At 38.5% G+C, this 16,474-nt stretch overlaps 1 protein-coding gene across 18 annotated transcripts in view; it reads left to right on the top strand.

Moving 5' to 3' along the window:
- RPGR (retinitis pigmentosa GTPase regulator) overlaps positions 1 to 16,474 on the top strand; it is a 58,347-nt gene that overhangs the window by 37,796 nt on the left and 4,077 nt on the right. For 9 of the 18 annotated variants that reach the window (NR_159804.1, NR_159807.1, NR_159805.1 and 6 more), the window contains 3 exons: positions 12,942 to 13,127; positions 14,568 to 14,625; positions 16,237 to 16,328. Coding sequence is in view for 12 of the 18 variants with exons in the window: in NM_001367249.1 (NP_001354178.1) it covers positions 12,942 to 13,127; positions 14,568 to 14,625; positions 16,237 to 16,328 (336 nt within the window). In the remaining 6 variants the exon portion in view is untranslated. Of the gene's footprint in view, positions 1 to 1,672; positions 5,307 to 12,941; positions 13,128 to 14,567; positions 14,626 to 16,236; positions 16,329 to 16,474 lie in introns of those variants that run through there. The other 9 variants (NM_001367245.1, NM_001367246.1, NM_000328.3 and 6 more) reach the window with 5 other exon arrangements.

Below are 16,474 nucleotides of genomic sequence, written 5' to 3'. Positions count from 1 at the left end.
AGTTTAGGCCCTACCAGGCCTACTTTAGTAAATGAGAAAAGATTTATTATACTATTTCTGTGTATTAACTTGTTAATTTTTAACTTGTCATGTTTTAATAATTTCTTTGGCACAATAGGAACCTCTTCCTAGGCCTAACTCATCACAATTTATAAAATTTGAATTAGTGAGGTTTTACTATCCAGAGACCCAAATTCATTAGATATTTGCATCCATTAGCTTGTTTGTAGAATTTAGATCAACAATTTGGTTTTGCCTTATTTTGTCCAGCAGGAAATTAATTTTGTATTGTTAATGTATTATTCAAATGTCAGTGTTTGATTTCATAGTTTTTGTACAAATCTTACATTTTACACTTAATATTCTTTCCTTAGTGTTCTTTCATTTATAGAAATTATTGTAATTAAATAATATAATCAATGCAAGGAAGAAGGTCAAAAATTTGAAAACTCATGAAGATTTTGTTTAGAAAAGAAAAATATATTCATTATTATTTAGTTTATAGATAAAAAACATCTCATGTGCAGTTTCTTCAGTTCTAGGAGTGGACTATTCATTTTTTTCAAATTTTACATTTTTATTTATTTTGTGAATTTTGTGGACTCAAAAGACAAATGAAAATTTGAAAATTAGGCCAGGCATGGTGGCTCATGCCTGTAATCCCAGCACTTTGGGCGGCCAAGATGGGCAGATCACTTGAGGTCAGAAGTTCGAGACTAGCCTGGCCATCATGGTGAAACCTCATCTCTACTAAAAATAAAAAAGTTAGCTGGATGTGGTGGCATGCACCCATAGTCCCAGCTACTCAGGAAGCTGAGGTGGGAGAATCGCTGGAACCCAGGAGGCAGAGGCTGCAGTGAGCTGAGATCATGCCACTGAGCTCCAGCCTAGGTGACAGAATGAAACTCCGTCTCAAGAAAAAAAAATTGAAAATTAAAGATGATCGGGAAAGTGGGAAAAATATACTAAGCTGTACTATGTATAAGAAAAGTGTACATTTTTTTCTTTGAAATGGAATTTCGCTCTTGTTGCCCAGGCTGGAGTGCAGTGGCACAATCTTGGCTCACTGCAACCTCTGCCTCCCGGGTTCAAGCAATTCTCCTGCCTCAGCCTCCCGAGTAGCTGGGATTACAGGCATGTGCCACCACTCCTGGCTAATTTTTGTACTTTTAGTAGAGACGGGTTTTCACCAGGTTGGCCAGGCTAGTCTTGAACTCCTGACCTTAGGTAATCCACCCGCCTCGGCCTCTTAAAGTACTGGGATTACAGGTGTGAGCCACTGTGCCAGGCCAAGAAGTGTACATTTTTAAATAGCATCTTGCAAAATTAATCTCGAAGTTTTATGTAAGGATTGATTCGGATTGAGAAAAGAGGCAGAGAGTAAATATTGATGGTATTGTGATTAATGGCAAAATTATGGCAGGTAGTAAGAATCGAAAATTAAACACAGATACATGTTACTAAATCAAAATTAGATGTATCACAGACTAGAGAGTGGCACAAATGATCCTTAAAGAAAACAAAACTTTAGCAAAATATCTGGTAAAACTTGCTATTTTGATTCTCCTAAACTTATAAAAATGTAAAATCTTGGCAGTATTTAAAGTAGATAAGTTGTCCTTGTCAACTAATAGTAGTATGACATATGATAATTACTTCAAAAAATTTACAGAAACAACAAACAATTGGGGAACTGACGCAGGATACAGCTCTTACTGAAAACGATGATAGTGATGAATATGAAGAAATGTCAGAAATGAAAGAAGGGAAAGCATGTAAACAACATGTGTCACAAGGGATTTTCATGACGCAGCCAGCTACGACTATCGAAGCATTTTCAGATGAGGAAGTAGGTAATGACACAGGCCAGGTGGGACCTCAGGCTGACACTGATGGAGAGGGTTTACAAAAAGAGGTATATAGACATGAAAATAATAATGGTGTTGATCAACTTGATGCTAAGGAAATAGAAAAGGAAAGTGATGGAGGACACAGTCAGAAGGAATCAGAAGCAGAAGAAATAGACAGTGAGAAGGAAACTAAACTGGCAGAAATAGCAGGTATGAAGGATTTAAGAGAAAGGGAAAAGAGTACAAAAAAGATGAGTCCTTTCTTTGGCAACTTACCAGATAGAGGTATGAATACTGAGAGTGAAGAAAATAAAGATTTTGTTAAGAAAAGGGAAAGTTGCAAGCAAGATGTGATCTTTGACAGTGAAAGAGAATCAGTAGAAAAGCCAGACAGTTACATGGAAGGTGCAAGTGAGAGTCAACAGGGTATAGCTGATGGATTCCAGCAGCCTGAGGCAATAGAATTTAGTAGTGGAGAGAAAGAGGATGATGAAGTGGAAACTGACCAAAACATACGGTATGGCAGGAAATTGATTGAACAAGGAAATGAAAAAGAGACTAAACCCATAATATCCAAATCCATGGCAAAGTATGATTTTAAATGTGATCGCTTGTCAGAGATCCCAGAGGAGAAGGAAGGAGCAGAGGATTCAAAAGGAAATGGAATAGAGGAGCAAGAGGTAGAAGCAAATGAGGAAAATGTGAAGGTGCATGGAGGAAGAAAGGAGAAAACAGAGATCCTATCAGATGACCTTACAGACAAAGCAGAGGTGAGTGAAGGCAAGGCAAAATCAGTGGGAGAAGCAGAGGATGGGCCTGAAGGTAGAGGGGATGGAACCTGTGAGGAAGGTAGTTCAGGAGCAGAACACTGGCAAGATGAGGAGAGGGAGAAGGGGGAGAAAGACAAGGGTAGAGGAGAAATGGAGAGGCCAGGAGAGGGAGAGAAGGAACTAGCAGAGAAGGAAGAATGGAAGAAGAGGGATGGGGAAGAGCAGGAGCAAAAGGAGAGGGAGCAGGGCCATCAGAAGGAAAGAAACCAAGAGATGGAGGAGGGAGGGGAGGAGGAGCATGGAGAAGGAGAAGAAGAGGAGGGAGACAGAGAAGAGGAAGAAGAGAAGGAGGGAGAAGGGAAAGAGGAAGGAGAAGGGGAAGAAGTGGAGGGAGAACGTGAAAAGGAGGAAGGAGAGAGGAAAAAGGAGGAAAGAGCGGGGAAGGAGGAGAAAGGAGAGGAAGAAGGAGACCAAGGAGAGGGGGAAGAGGAGGAAACAGAGGGGAGAGGGGAGGAAAAAGAGGAGGGAGGGGAAGTAGAGGGAGGGGAAGTAGAGGAGGGGAAAGGAGAGAGGGAAGAGGAAGAGGAGGAGGGTGAGGGGGAAGAGGAGGAAGGGGAGGGGGAAGAGGAGGAAGGGGAGGGGGAAGAGGAGGAAGGAGAAGGGAAAGGGGAGGAAGAAGGGGAAGAAGGAGAAGGGGAGGAAGAAGGGGAGGAAGGAGAAGGGGAGGGGGAAGAGGAGGAAGGAGAAGGGGAGGGAGAAGAGGAAGGAGAAGGGGAGGGAGAAGAGGAGGAAGGAGAAGGGGAGGGAGAAGAGGAAGGAGAAGGGGAGGGAGAAGAGGAGGAAGGAGAAGGGAAAGGGGAGGAGGAAGGAGAGGAAGGAGAAGGGGAGGGGGAAGAGGAGGAAGGAGAAGGGGAAGGGGAGGATGGAGAAGGGGAGGGGGAAGAGGAGGAAGGAGAATGGGAGGGGGAAGAGGAGGAAGGAGAAGGGGAGGGGGAAGAGGAAGGAGAAGGGGAAGGGGAGGAAGGAGAAGGGGAGGGGGAAGAGGAGGAAGGAGAAGGGGAGGGGGAAGAGGAGGAAGGGGAAGAAGAAGGGGAGGAAGAAGGAGAGGGAGAGGAAGAAGGGGAGGGAGAAGGGGAGGAAGAAGAGGAAGGGGAAGTGGAAGGGGAGGTGGAAGGGGAGGAAGGAGAGGGGGAAGGAGAGGAAGAGGAAGGAGAGGAGGAAGGAGAAGAAAGGGAAAAGGAGGGGGAAGGAGAAGAAAACAGGAGGAACAGAGAAGAGGAGGAGGAAGAAGAGGGGAAGTATCAGGAGACAGGCGAAGAAGAGAATGAAAGGCAGGATGGAGAGGAGTACAAAAAAGTGAGCAAAATAAAAGGATCTGTGAAATATGGCAAACATAAAACATATCAAAAAAAGTCAGTTACTAACACACAGGGAAATGGGAAAGAGCAGAGGTCCAAAATGCCAGTCCAGTCAAAACGACTTTTAAAAAACGGGCCATCAGGTTCCAAAAAGTTCTGGAATAATGTATTACCACATTACTTGGAATTGAAGTAACAAACCTTAAATGTGACCCGATTATGGCCAGTCAGACAATTTAAATGCCTTGCATATAACGGGCACTCATTACGTGTTATTAAATTGATTTTATGTCAATTATTTTATGTGTAGTAAAAAAAAAAGCAACTGATGCAGCTGTGTTAAGGAGCCAAAGACAATAGGAGGCACTGGTAAATTTTGGCCTCTCTCAAACTAAAATTTTCGTGTATTTCCCCCCCAAATTATAAAAACATAACTAGAAAATATTAAAAGGTCATATCAGATTATTAACATTATATATTCATTAAAGGCAGCTTTAGGAAACAGGAATATACTACAAGAGTGTTTTGTTTGTGTATACAAATCATTCCATTTTTAAATGGCACAGATGCTTAAGGGCTATAAAAACTTCTAATTTCTTATAAATATGTTAGCACTTTTTTTAAGTTAGTGATTACAGTTTACCTACTGTATAGAATAATTTTCTAATAATGGATGGTATTCTAAAACTCAATTGAGGCATTCACATTTTAAAGAAAGTATTGTCTTTCACCTTTTATGTGTTCTTTTTGCAAAAATCTACAAAGTGACAGCTGTGTTCAGAGCTTAGATCCCAAAAACGTGATCTCTTTTAGTTACTATCTGGGCAGATGGTAGTATATCTAATGAAATGGTGATTAATTTAAATGTATAATCTGGAAATATGTAAAACTTGAAGTATTTTTTGTCCAGGCAAAGGTACTCATTGGGCCTCAGTTTCTTCATCTCTAAAATGGAGTGGATGAGATGATGTGATAACTGCAGTCCCTTCTAACTCTTAAATTCTTTTCATTCTCACAGATTCACTCTATCATTATTGTTATTCATGTAAGAAACGTTTTAGGGAGAAAAATTACACTTTAAAATTAATTTAGTTTTCTATACAGTTGTTTTCTTTACTCTTGAAAAGTTATGACAGCTTTAACGTCTCTTGTCTTCTGTAATTTTTTATTTCTAAACTCCTATCATTTCCAAGCTTTAACTGTACTTTATCAGAGCCTTCATTTCTGGTATGTGTTATATGCCCTCAATGTATTCACTGACTGTTCTGTAATTTCAGTTTGTCTGTTCCTTGTCAGAATGTTTCAAGTAAAATAAAAAATTAAATGTATATAGTCAGAAATTCTTTATGAAAAGATAAACTGTCTAGTATTAGATACTGAATTTTAGAGAGGCTAGATTTCCACTAGAGTAATTTCAATTGTCCCTTAAAATTTTCCGTGTACATAATGCAGCTAATTTATCTGATAGTTTATTTGTGGCTCCTTTTTCAACTAATTTCCTTTCATAGTCCCTTTTATATCCTGGGCATGAGAGATTTCTTATACTTAGTTTTATTAAGGAGGATTTTGATGAGAAACTTCCTGTGAGTTTTGTGTAGTTGAGTTCTTTTGCACAGTTGATTCTCTGAGTGAGAAAGAATATGAGGAAAAAGTCTAGAATCGTATGAAGTAAAGGATTTCCTAGGAGCAATTGTAAGTTTTGCCTTAGCTGCAAGGATCTCTGGCAGCTTCCCCTAACTAACCAAATGTACTGATTTGGCATTGCATTGCTTTACCGAATTCGACCACATTCATTAAGGGATAGTAGAAAAGAATTAATACTATGATAAAAATATATGTGCCGAACATGATTATTTAAAAAGTAGATTTAAAATAATTAAGATGGATGACACAGAATTCATAAAGAAAAAAACCTCCAGGGAAATGAGAAACTCTTAAACTCAAGTTATTAATGTAATAGCTATGAGCATTCATCTTCTACTGAAGAGATAATCAGCCAGTAATACAGAAACAACGTTCTAAAATACACCCATCTCAGTATTAAACCTGGTCTATATGTCCACGTTTAAATAGCATTTCTTCACATTTCCCTGGCCAAAAACATTTTGTGCTCTTTAGAAGTGGTAGTTCATGCAAGCATTGTTTTCTAGTGGAGAACACTGGCCTCCCTAGTCACTTTGAGACCAAAGCCCTTCTTCTGGTTTTGTACTTTTGAGCTGTCTGAACTTGGGCTAGTCTCTTAGCTTTGCAGTCCTCAATTTCTTCATCTGGAAAATTATAGAATGAGAATGAGTGACCTAAGGGATTCTATAGGAACAGCAGTTGTTCATTACCAGCTAGAGCTCTGTCACACCCAGATTTTCTGCAATTCCTTTTTCCTCAATAAAAAATCTTAAGTCTCGTCACCAAAGCGACCCCACATTCAAACTAACTAGTAGTTATACTAAAGTAAACAGTTATCCTAAACTACTAAGCACACACTAACTTTCTGTGCCCACTGTTGGGCGAACATTTATTTAATCACATGTGGCAGGTCTAGTACCCTCAAAAAGTTTATGGAGAGGAGTGTATTGTGGGTTAGGGGTGGGTTGGGGTACAAAAGACCCAGGTCTATCCAGGCTTTCATCGACAGAAGTGATTTACATGTTTGTAAATTTTATATATCTTAGGAGAAAAAAAAGGAAGCTTAAGAATGAGACCACTTTGTCCCTCATGAATTAACACTTGGTTATATAGATTAAAATAACTGGTTCCTTCTTTATTGTTCCCATCTGCTGGTTGTTCAGGCTTTTATAGTAGTTTATTACTGATCATTATTGAGGGAAGTGTGAGTAGTATATATAGAATCCATTGAGTTACATTTCCTAATGAGGACTCTGGCTGAAAAAGACTTTAAGGTAAGCTGCAAAGGATTACCTACCACAGAAACTGCTGCTGCTGCTGCTGCTGCTGCTGCTGAACAGCAGCAGTCAAGGTGAGTGCAACTGAAATGTCTTCTATTATTTCACTATAGAGAAACTTGCTATACACTTACATAGCAAAAATAAAATGTGACCATGGAAGAAGGAAAGGCCAAGCTTTTCTTGTTTCTGACCTGGAGAACTGAGTAGAAAGAGTACTATTCAGCAAGATCGAGAATAAGGGAGCAGAAGCATGTTTGGGAGACAGTTTTTTACTGTTGATTTTAGATTGTAGGAGATGTTCAGGAGGCAGATACCTGTATGGATCTGGAGCTCACGGAGACTGCTGAGTATCGCCAGCTCATAGATGTAGTTAAAACTGGATTTGACTGAAAGGAAGTGTTCCTAATGTGAATGGAGGAGAGTTGAAGACAGAATTCAGAGAAATGTCAGTAGGTAAGGGAGAGGTTGAGAAAGTGAAGTCTGAGAAGGAGGTGTGGGAGCATACTTACTAGGAAAGAGAGATACCACCCAAGCCAAAGAAGGGGTTTCAGAGAGGAAGGAGTGGTAGTAGCTGCAGAGAGAGCCTCTAGGAGGCAGCCTAGTAGAGGGCCAGGGGCAGAACCCACATTGCCAGGAAAGAATGAGCTCCGGGAAATCTGCTCTGCAGAGGAATAGAATCAGAACTGTGAAAATTAAATATCAGATATAGATATTTAATTTTTAAAATATTTAATTTTTTAAGCATATTTCTCAATTTAGGAAGGGAGATGTGTACTCCAGAGACTTTGGTTTTCTGGGGAAAAGATGATAAATTTTGTTCATAATTAATATATACATAAGAATAGAGTGTTATTGATGTGAGCTTATGAACCAAAAGAAAAATCTGCAATGCTTTAAACATTAGTGAGGCGGAGAAAAAAAACATCTGTGAGAACAGCCATTATTATCCTCAAATTAAATGAGCAGGTTTGGAAACAAACATGGGCTCCAAAGTCCAGTAGAACTGAGTTAAAATCCCAGCCCTCCACTGATGAGCTGTGTGGACACCTAGAAAAGTTGTGGTGGTGGTGGTGGTGGTGGTTGTTATTTGACCTTTCTGAGTCTTATTTCCCTCATTTGATAAAGGAAGGGACTTTTGACGATTAAATTACCTAACACATGAAACATGTTATAGGCACTCAGCAAATGGTAACCTGTATCACTCTAATTATACTCTGTGATCACACCAAGGTAGGTGCAAAGCTACACTCATGAATCTCCAGGTCACTGACTGATGTGCGTGAGTTTAGTCATGTGAACCTGACTTTTGTTTAAATGTAACATAATAGCAAAATATAAATTGGCTTATAGAAATAGATCTGTGGGAATAAAGTAGATTGCAATAATGATCATGCTTAAGTATAAGGTGGAGTGAAACTATTACACACCATACATTAGTCAATAAATGCCCCTAAATATTTAAAGTGTGTTGAAACGCTGATCACACTCATGTGGTTAGCCGAAAATTTAGGTGTGTTTTCTGTCACTGAACATTTCCCTCTGTGTCCTAACCTTGTTATCAAAATAAATAAAAATAATTAGCACATAAGGTATAGTCGTGGATCATGCATTTGTTTATGGACAACAAGAAAATCTTCTAAGGAAAAAGAGTAGAGATAGTAAAGAATAAATCTGAAAATGAGAATAAAAATGCTCGCCAGCAAGATATTCTATACTCTGAACATTTATTTCTGTAGGCCTGCCTATCAAACTGGAATGTATTCAGTGGTGAGAATACAGGATTAGGAATGACATAAGGGAGTGGTGCCTAGAAAGAAGGAAGAGTTTAAGAGATTATAAAGTAGTATGATCAGCCAAGAATTTGGAGATCACAACTGGCAGCCCATGGGTGCAGTCTGGCCTGCAGACTTATTTTGTTTGGTGCAGTTTTTTTTTATTTAAATCATATTGGTTGCCAACATTGAAATGTCAGGAGATTTTACATTTAAAAAGTTTCTCAGCCAGGCATGGTGACTCACACCTGTAATCGCAGAACTTTGGGAGGCTGAGGCTGGAGGATTGCTTGAGGCCAGGAGTTCAAGACCAGCCTGGGCAAGATGATAAAAACCTGTCTCTACAAAAAAATTAAAAGATTAGTTAGGCATGGTGGTGTGCGCCCTGTAGTCCCAGCTACTCAGGAGGCTGAAGTGGGAAGATCGCTTGAGCCCTGAAGGTCAAGGCTGTAGTAAGCTGTGATTGTGCCACTGCACTCCAGCTTGAGTGACAGAGTGAGGCCCTGTCTCAAATAATAATAATGTTTCTTGGACTTTTGGAAAGCCTGGGTCTGGGAGCATCACACTGTGGCAACACTGACCTGAAGCTGAGCTGAGGCTGGCACCCCTCTCCCCAGTTCCCATGGCTCCTTCCCTCACTGGCCTTGATGCTAGGCTCCTGGCTCACAATAAAAGGATGTATAGAGGACACAAAAATAAGTGGACGTTTTAAATGAACTATTTTCCAGTGATAAGATCTGGGACATTATGGGAAAAAAAAGTCCAAACTTACTGTTTTTCGACAGTCCTCAATGCACACTAAGAATTCTATCTTACTTTTTATGGAGGGGCCTCTACAAAATTATTTATACTTATATACAAATATATAGTATATGCTCATGTTATTTTTCTCTGTAAATAATCTTTTTAATCTTTACACAAACCCTCTGAGGTAGGTATTGCTAATGTTATTTTTCCATTTTACAGGTAGACTATAAAATACATTCACTGGGTGCCATGCTCAGGCCATGAGTGATTAGATTAAGGCTTGGAAAGCAGTGCTTAGGGCTTTGTATTTAATGCCCTTCCCACCCCATACTGCTGTTTCCATGATTTTCAGTGTAGTTAAAACATGAACTTACAGGTTAACTTTTCCTGTCCAAAAAAAAAATATATACTTGAAATTTTGATTTTTCTACCTGATATAACTTAAATACAAAGTTTTATGCTATATTAACCTATCTGGGAAACATTTTCTACCCTACATGACATTGAAGCATGTCAGAAATTCTGAATTATAGCACAAAATTTTATACTTTATAGCTCTGGTTTGTTTTATTACTTTTAAAAAACTATAATACCCACGGACAAAAGTGCCTATCTCATACATGTGTCCCTCAATATATTTTTCACAAAGTGAATACACCCATCACAAACTGATCAGCATCCAAATCAAGGAAAAACACAGTACCAGCTCCCTCAGAAGCTTCACTTTAACCCCTTTCAGTCATTTCCCACTCTCAGCCCCACCCCCCAGCCCCCATCCCAGCATTCTCCTTAAAGCATGCGATGTAATTGTGTTCTTAAGTAAACAGAAACCTCAGTAGGAACCTTTGCTCTCTTGTTCTGTTCCTTAAGAAATATGAAAAGTGTTGCCTTGGGCCAGACCAGAGTCTGCACCTGACTGTGCCATGCCTGACCAATGAAACAAAGGGTCCTTTTGTGAGAGGTCAGGCCCATTCACTTCTTTACTGTGATCCTAACGCAAGACACAGACATATACTGACCATTTCAGACTACCTGTTTACATCTTCTTAGATGGTTCTAGTGCCAAGAATGTACTTAAACTTTACTCTTTCTTTTTATAAAATGACAGTATTCTGCCAGTCACTCCCAAATTGTTTCAGTTTAAAAGGTAAGTGCTTTCTGTGACTTCAAGTAGTCGTCCAGATGTGTTTAGAATAATTTTAAATGTGCTTAGTCTGTGAGTGCTATGATGTGATTTCTAGTGAAAATGTCATTTTCTAATAGCTTTCTCAAATTTAGAAAATGATATAGTTCCAAAAGTTCTTCATTGTTATAGATTGTTTAAAGTTAATGAGTAAAATTGTAGTTTGTTATGAGTGTTTTACTTATTTCTAAAATAAGGTAAAACTCCCACGTGTCTTTTTATAATAGCATGACATTATCCTGTGGTTACATGAATACCTCAGTTAACAAGCCCAGTTGGAGTTGACCCAGGTGCTAGGTTAGCCAAGCTTCCCAAGTAATTGAGGATTATGCTGGGAACACAGCTCACTGATCCCTCCCTCTGTGAAAAGAGGGGCATAGTCTGAAATTCCTTGTCTCAGGAGCACTGTTCTTTTTAGTTAACCTTTCATTTATGTATATTTATGCAGACAACTATCAGTCATAAGTCTTAAATCTAGTAATCTTCCCATTCCCTTTCAAAGTGAAGTTGTTTCTGATAATTTTAGCTACCCATAATGTATACCTGGCTAGGCATGATACACAATATAAGTCACTCAAAAGGGGAAATCAGGCTGGGCGTGGTGGCTCACGCTTGTAATCCTAGCACTTTGGGAGGCCAAGGCGGGAGGATCACCTGAAGTCAGGAGTTTGAGGCCAGCCTGGCCAACATGGCGAAACCCCGTCTTTACTAAAAGTACAAAAATCAGCTGGGTGTGGTGGTGGGTGCCTGTAATCCCAGCTACTCGGGAGGCTGAGGCAGGAGAATCGCTTCAACCCGGGAGGTGGAGGTTGCAGTGAGCCAAGATTGTGCCACTGCACTCCAGCCTGGGTGACAGAGTGAGACCCTGTCTCAAACAAAAGCAAAAAACAGGCGGTTGGAATCATGCAGACAAAAACAAAGCTTAAAAGTAAATGATAACTACCTCATGTTAACCCTACCCAGTCTAATCAATCATCATTTGAAATAGCTGTCTGCCCTGGTACCATGTTCCTTTCTCCCACATTCCTCTCTTGCATACATTGCCTCATGACCTTGGATTAACCTAAATCTAATTCTTCCTGAGTAGCTTCTGAAACTCTTTTTAAAATCTCAAAGCTTTATTTACTTAGGGCTTCCTGTCCTCAGTGGGAATGCTATTAGGCCACGCCTTTGCAATTGGCCTGAGGATGACACTAATGTTTACTATTAAGGTGTACTGTATAAACATCCTCTTCCTAGCCTGGACTCTCGCATTTTATATTTTTACCAGAAGAAAGGTGAGTTAAATTTTAGAGGCATTATTTTCCAACCACCTACTAAAGATTCTGTTGAGTATCAGTCAGGCTTTATCCTTAGCCAGACAGCTACTAGAAAGCTGACCATCAAAAGCTAATTACAGTGTTGAAGGGGATATGGTCTGAAGCAAATATTGCCAAGGTGAACTTTGTACAAATGTTATTTGAAGGAGTAAATGGCACTGATAACTGCTTCACATATTTTAGAAGCAGTTATAATAAACTTAATTATAATAAACTATAAAGTTATAACTTTAGTGAAGTGTGTAAATGAAAAGTATGGGGGGGAATCTAATGAGAAACCTAATATCTTAATGACAATCAGAGTATTTCACCCAAAATTAGAAAGTTAAAAAAAAAAAAGAAATCTCAGTGTAGAATAAAGGCTGAAACTAATATTTTCTGCCTATACTTAATAAGCATTCCATGATTTACTATCAGTCTATCAAATCCATAGACAGCCTCTTTTATCGTTTGGATTAGCTGGCCAGTAGCCAGACAGAACAAGTTCTGCCTCTGTTTGGTTTTCCTTCTGCTTTTAATAACCATGAGCAAACCATTTAAACTGTCTATGTTCCTTTATCTTTTTTCCTGGAATGTAAATAATTATACTTATCTTCCTCATGACTGTCAGTGAATCGTACTTCTGAAGTGATTCTAAATCCCTATATTTTGGAAAATGAATATAATATATAGATATGATTATGTTATAATGCTACAGTAGACAGAACGCTTTTTAAACTTTTCTCAAGGTTGAAAGCATTGTGAGACAACCAAGAAAGAGTATTTATTTTTTTTTTCCATTGTAACCTTGCCATGGGTGCTAGTAAGAATTTTGGAAATCCTAGTCATTGAAATAGAGTGGCATGCGTAAAATCCTTGTTAATACAGTAACTTGATATTCAGCATGGACTGTACAGTATTTTTTTCTTCGGCTTCAATATTTGAATTAATATTTTCCTGGTTTTTTTAGATGACACAAATTATTTATGACAGCAATATCAAATCCCTCGTTTTTTAACAAGAAAATCTTACTCTTCTCTGATGGTCAATTTTGTCACAGGATCATGAATTTTCTAAAACTGAGGAACTAAAACTAGAAGATGTGGATGAGGAAATTAATGCTGAAAATGTGGAAAGCAAGAAGAAAACTGTGGGAGATGATGAAAGTGTTCCTACAGGTTATCACAGTAAAACAGAAGGAGCAGAAAGAACCAATGATGATAGCTCAGCTGAAACTATTGAAAAGGTATGATGATAGATGCTTAAATCCTGAGATCCTGGGAGAAAACATATGGGTTCTCTAGTTTCTGCAGAGGACAGATTCCAGTTGCCTTTGGGATCAGAAATACTCCCATGAATACATGAATACATGAATTCATGTGCCATAAGAGAAAGGCTTTGGCTTATTTGTGAACTAAGCAAACTTTGTCTCTAGCACACTTTCTAGAATGCTGCTTGGTAGCATTCTGCCTCCCGCATGAGTGGAAGTAGAATGGTATGGGCCAGGATAGTACACCGTTGGGAAATTAACCAAGAAGTTCAGCACTCAGTCCTTGAAATGCTGAAAGTGCAAAGTTAGGAGCCCTGGCACTGGTGGCAGAAATGGGGTGTGTATGTGTACACACACCTGTGTATGTTTACATGTGTGAATGATTGAAAGTTGGTCACAGCAGTATTTGAAGTTGTGATCAGTTCTTCAAAGGTGCAGTCTAGACAAAATTATGTATAGAAGGAATAGGAGAAGATATCACTAAGGAAGCAAAAATCACCCTGAAAGTGGAGCTAGAGAAGCCCAAAACATAATCTCTTCCATTGGCAGTTTTGACTGAGAGTGACCTTGCTAGGAGATAGTTTGTAGGTTTGAAATCATTTGTTTGCTAACACTACTCTGGATTAACTTCAGAAGTATGGAATTCCGCAACCCAAAGTGAATGACGTTGTACTGATTCATCTTTATTTTCATTTTTTGAACCTCTCATGCAGAACACTGAGTCATACCTTCTAGTATGAAACACTCTCATCATTGGTCTGTTGCAAGGCTCTTCTCATGTAAATGTATTCTCTTTTAGCTCCATTCCCCTTCCCCTTTTTCCCTAACATAGACAACCACTGAAACATATTTGTCATTTTATTTGAATGTGTACTTGTGAAACATGTTTTGTGTGCATACATTTTTAATTTACAAATTGGTATTGTGGTAAAGGTCATTCTTTTGCTTGGTTCCTTCTTTATCCAAGACTCCTTTCTCTCACTAAGAAAAAAAATATTCTAGCAGTTACTGTTTTATTTCAGAAGGAGAAAATGATTCTGTTTATAGGGAACATTTATGAATTCAGGTTAGGGTGGTCCTTAAGATTATTTAACATAGAAATCATTAAATACCAATTTGACATTGTAAAATGTTGAGACAAGTTGTATGCCAATTAGCGTTCATGAATCTTCTTTGAGGAGAATTCTTGAGTCATACAGTTTTTTTAATCACACAATTTTAAGCTAGGAGGACATTTGCAATCAGTCAGCATCTAAGGCCCCTCACTTTACAAGAGCTCAGCAAAGTGAAGTAATTGTCACATGTTTATGTCATTAGCTAGAGGCAGACTCTAGAACCTGCTTAAAGATTCAGACTTAAGTTTTCTAGAACAGCACAAAAATATTTTTTGTTATATTGCTTTGTTATTGTTTATAGAAAGAAAAAGCCAACCTAGAGGAACGGGCCATTTGTGAGTACAATGAAAACCCAAAAGGTATGAGCACATTTGATAACATACATATATACATACATACATACACACATATATATGTGTATGTATGCCATAATTGGGTAATTATAAGCTTACATATAAGTTTACATATATGCTATAATTTTTACTGTCACATGATCCTCATAACAAGCTATGAAATATGTGATACAGACTTATCTGTTCTTATATATAACCACCACAGCTTCTTCACATACAAATATTGCATTATTCATGGCTACTTATGTGTCAATGTTAAGGAATTTTTTATTTTTTTTTGAGACAGAGTTTCGCTCTTGTTGCCCAGGATGGAGTGCAATGGCACGATCTCAGCTCATTGCAATCTCCACCTCCCAGGTTCAAGTGATTCTCCTGCCTCAGCCTCCCGAGTAGCTGGGATTACAGGCGTGTGCCACTACACCTGGCTAATTTTTATATTTTTAGTAGAGATGTGGTTTTGCCATATTGTCCAGGCGAGTCTCAAACTCCTGACCTCAGGTGATCCTCCCGCCTCGGCCTCCCAAAGTGCTGGGATTACAGGCATGAGCCACCACACCCGGCTGGTGTTAAGGAATTTAAGTAGCCTTTTTACTACCTTTTTTCTCTCTATTAAATCAGTATTATTAAATCAAGCTTTTGCCCCAAATTCCAATTTATATCTCTAGTGCACACTGCTAGACTCCATTGCCCAACCAAGTTGGGACTACTGGGCTGGCCTAAAGCCACAATGGCCACCCAGTTATTTACCCCCGAGGGCTCAGACCTGAGTGTCTTACCGTAGATACTGAAGAGAAGTCCTTTCCCAAGCCTACCTATCAGTGTCAGAGAGCAGGTGCTGTGGAATAGAGGAGACTGTGATTGCCCTTGAGATCTACATAATCTAGACACAAATCATCTGTGTTTCTGTAGTATGACTCCCACATTGTTTCCACACCATCACACGGCAGTATGATTGTGTTCTCATAAAAAAATAACTATCTGTAATACTGGATATCTGATCTAAACTTAAGCTGAAGAATGAATAGTTTCCTTAATCCTGTTCCTTTTAACTTCTGCCATAAGAGTAGTAAGTTTTAGAATATTTTAGGCAAGTGTTAAAAAATGTATCACCTATAAGTATTCTTAACATATAGCCTAAAGCACTACAAAGAAATTAAATATAAGCTTAAAAGTAGTTGATAATATAAAATTAAAACAATGCATATGCTTCACAAGTATACTTTGAAGATAATTATTCAGATATAGAACATGTGGATTAATTTGAAACACCAAAAAATAGCATGTCCATTTGAGTACAAAGAATGTAATTATAACTAGGTTAATTTTTAAAGTAATTTGTATTTTACAGAAGTCTTCTCTAACATTGACTATTACCTTTGTAGCTATATTTGGATACTGGTCATCTAAACATTTACAACTTTGGTGAGGTCATTCTGGGCTTTTCACTTTAACTCAACTTTTCAGGAAATATGCAGTGTAGATGTTGTCCACTACTCCAGGGGTGAGCTCTTTTCGTATTACCCCACAACTCAGGGTTCATAGAGTTTCACTGAGAGCATCAGGTCTTGTCTTTTTCCTATTAGTTAAAACTAGTATTTCTGAATGATCCAATTGTAGGATACATGCTTGATGATGCAGATAGCAGTTCATTAGAAATCCTAGAAAACAGTGAAACAACACCAAGCAAAGACATGAAAAAAACAAAGAAGGTAAGTGAAATGAATTGTCTTTTTTGATCCTTTTGAATTCAATTGTTTGTTTTACTTTTCATATGGCAATCCACATAATTTAACTCTCTTAATATGAGTTTTCATGGCCCCAAAACCTGAAGAATTTCAGGTGATGTCGCATATTT

This window comes from Homo sapiens, chromosome X (genome assembly GCF_000001405.40).
Source record: "Homo sapiens chromosome X, GRCh38.p14 Primary Assembly".
In the NCBI taxonomy this organism is placed as follows: Eukaryota; Metazoa; Chordata; class Mammalia; order Primates; family Hominidae; genus Homo; species Homo sapiens.
This window is presented reverse-complemented; position numbering and strand designations above follow the sequence as displayed.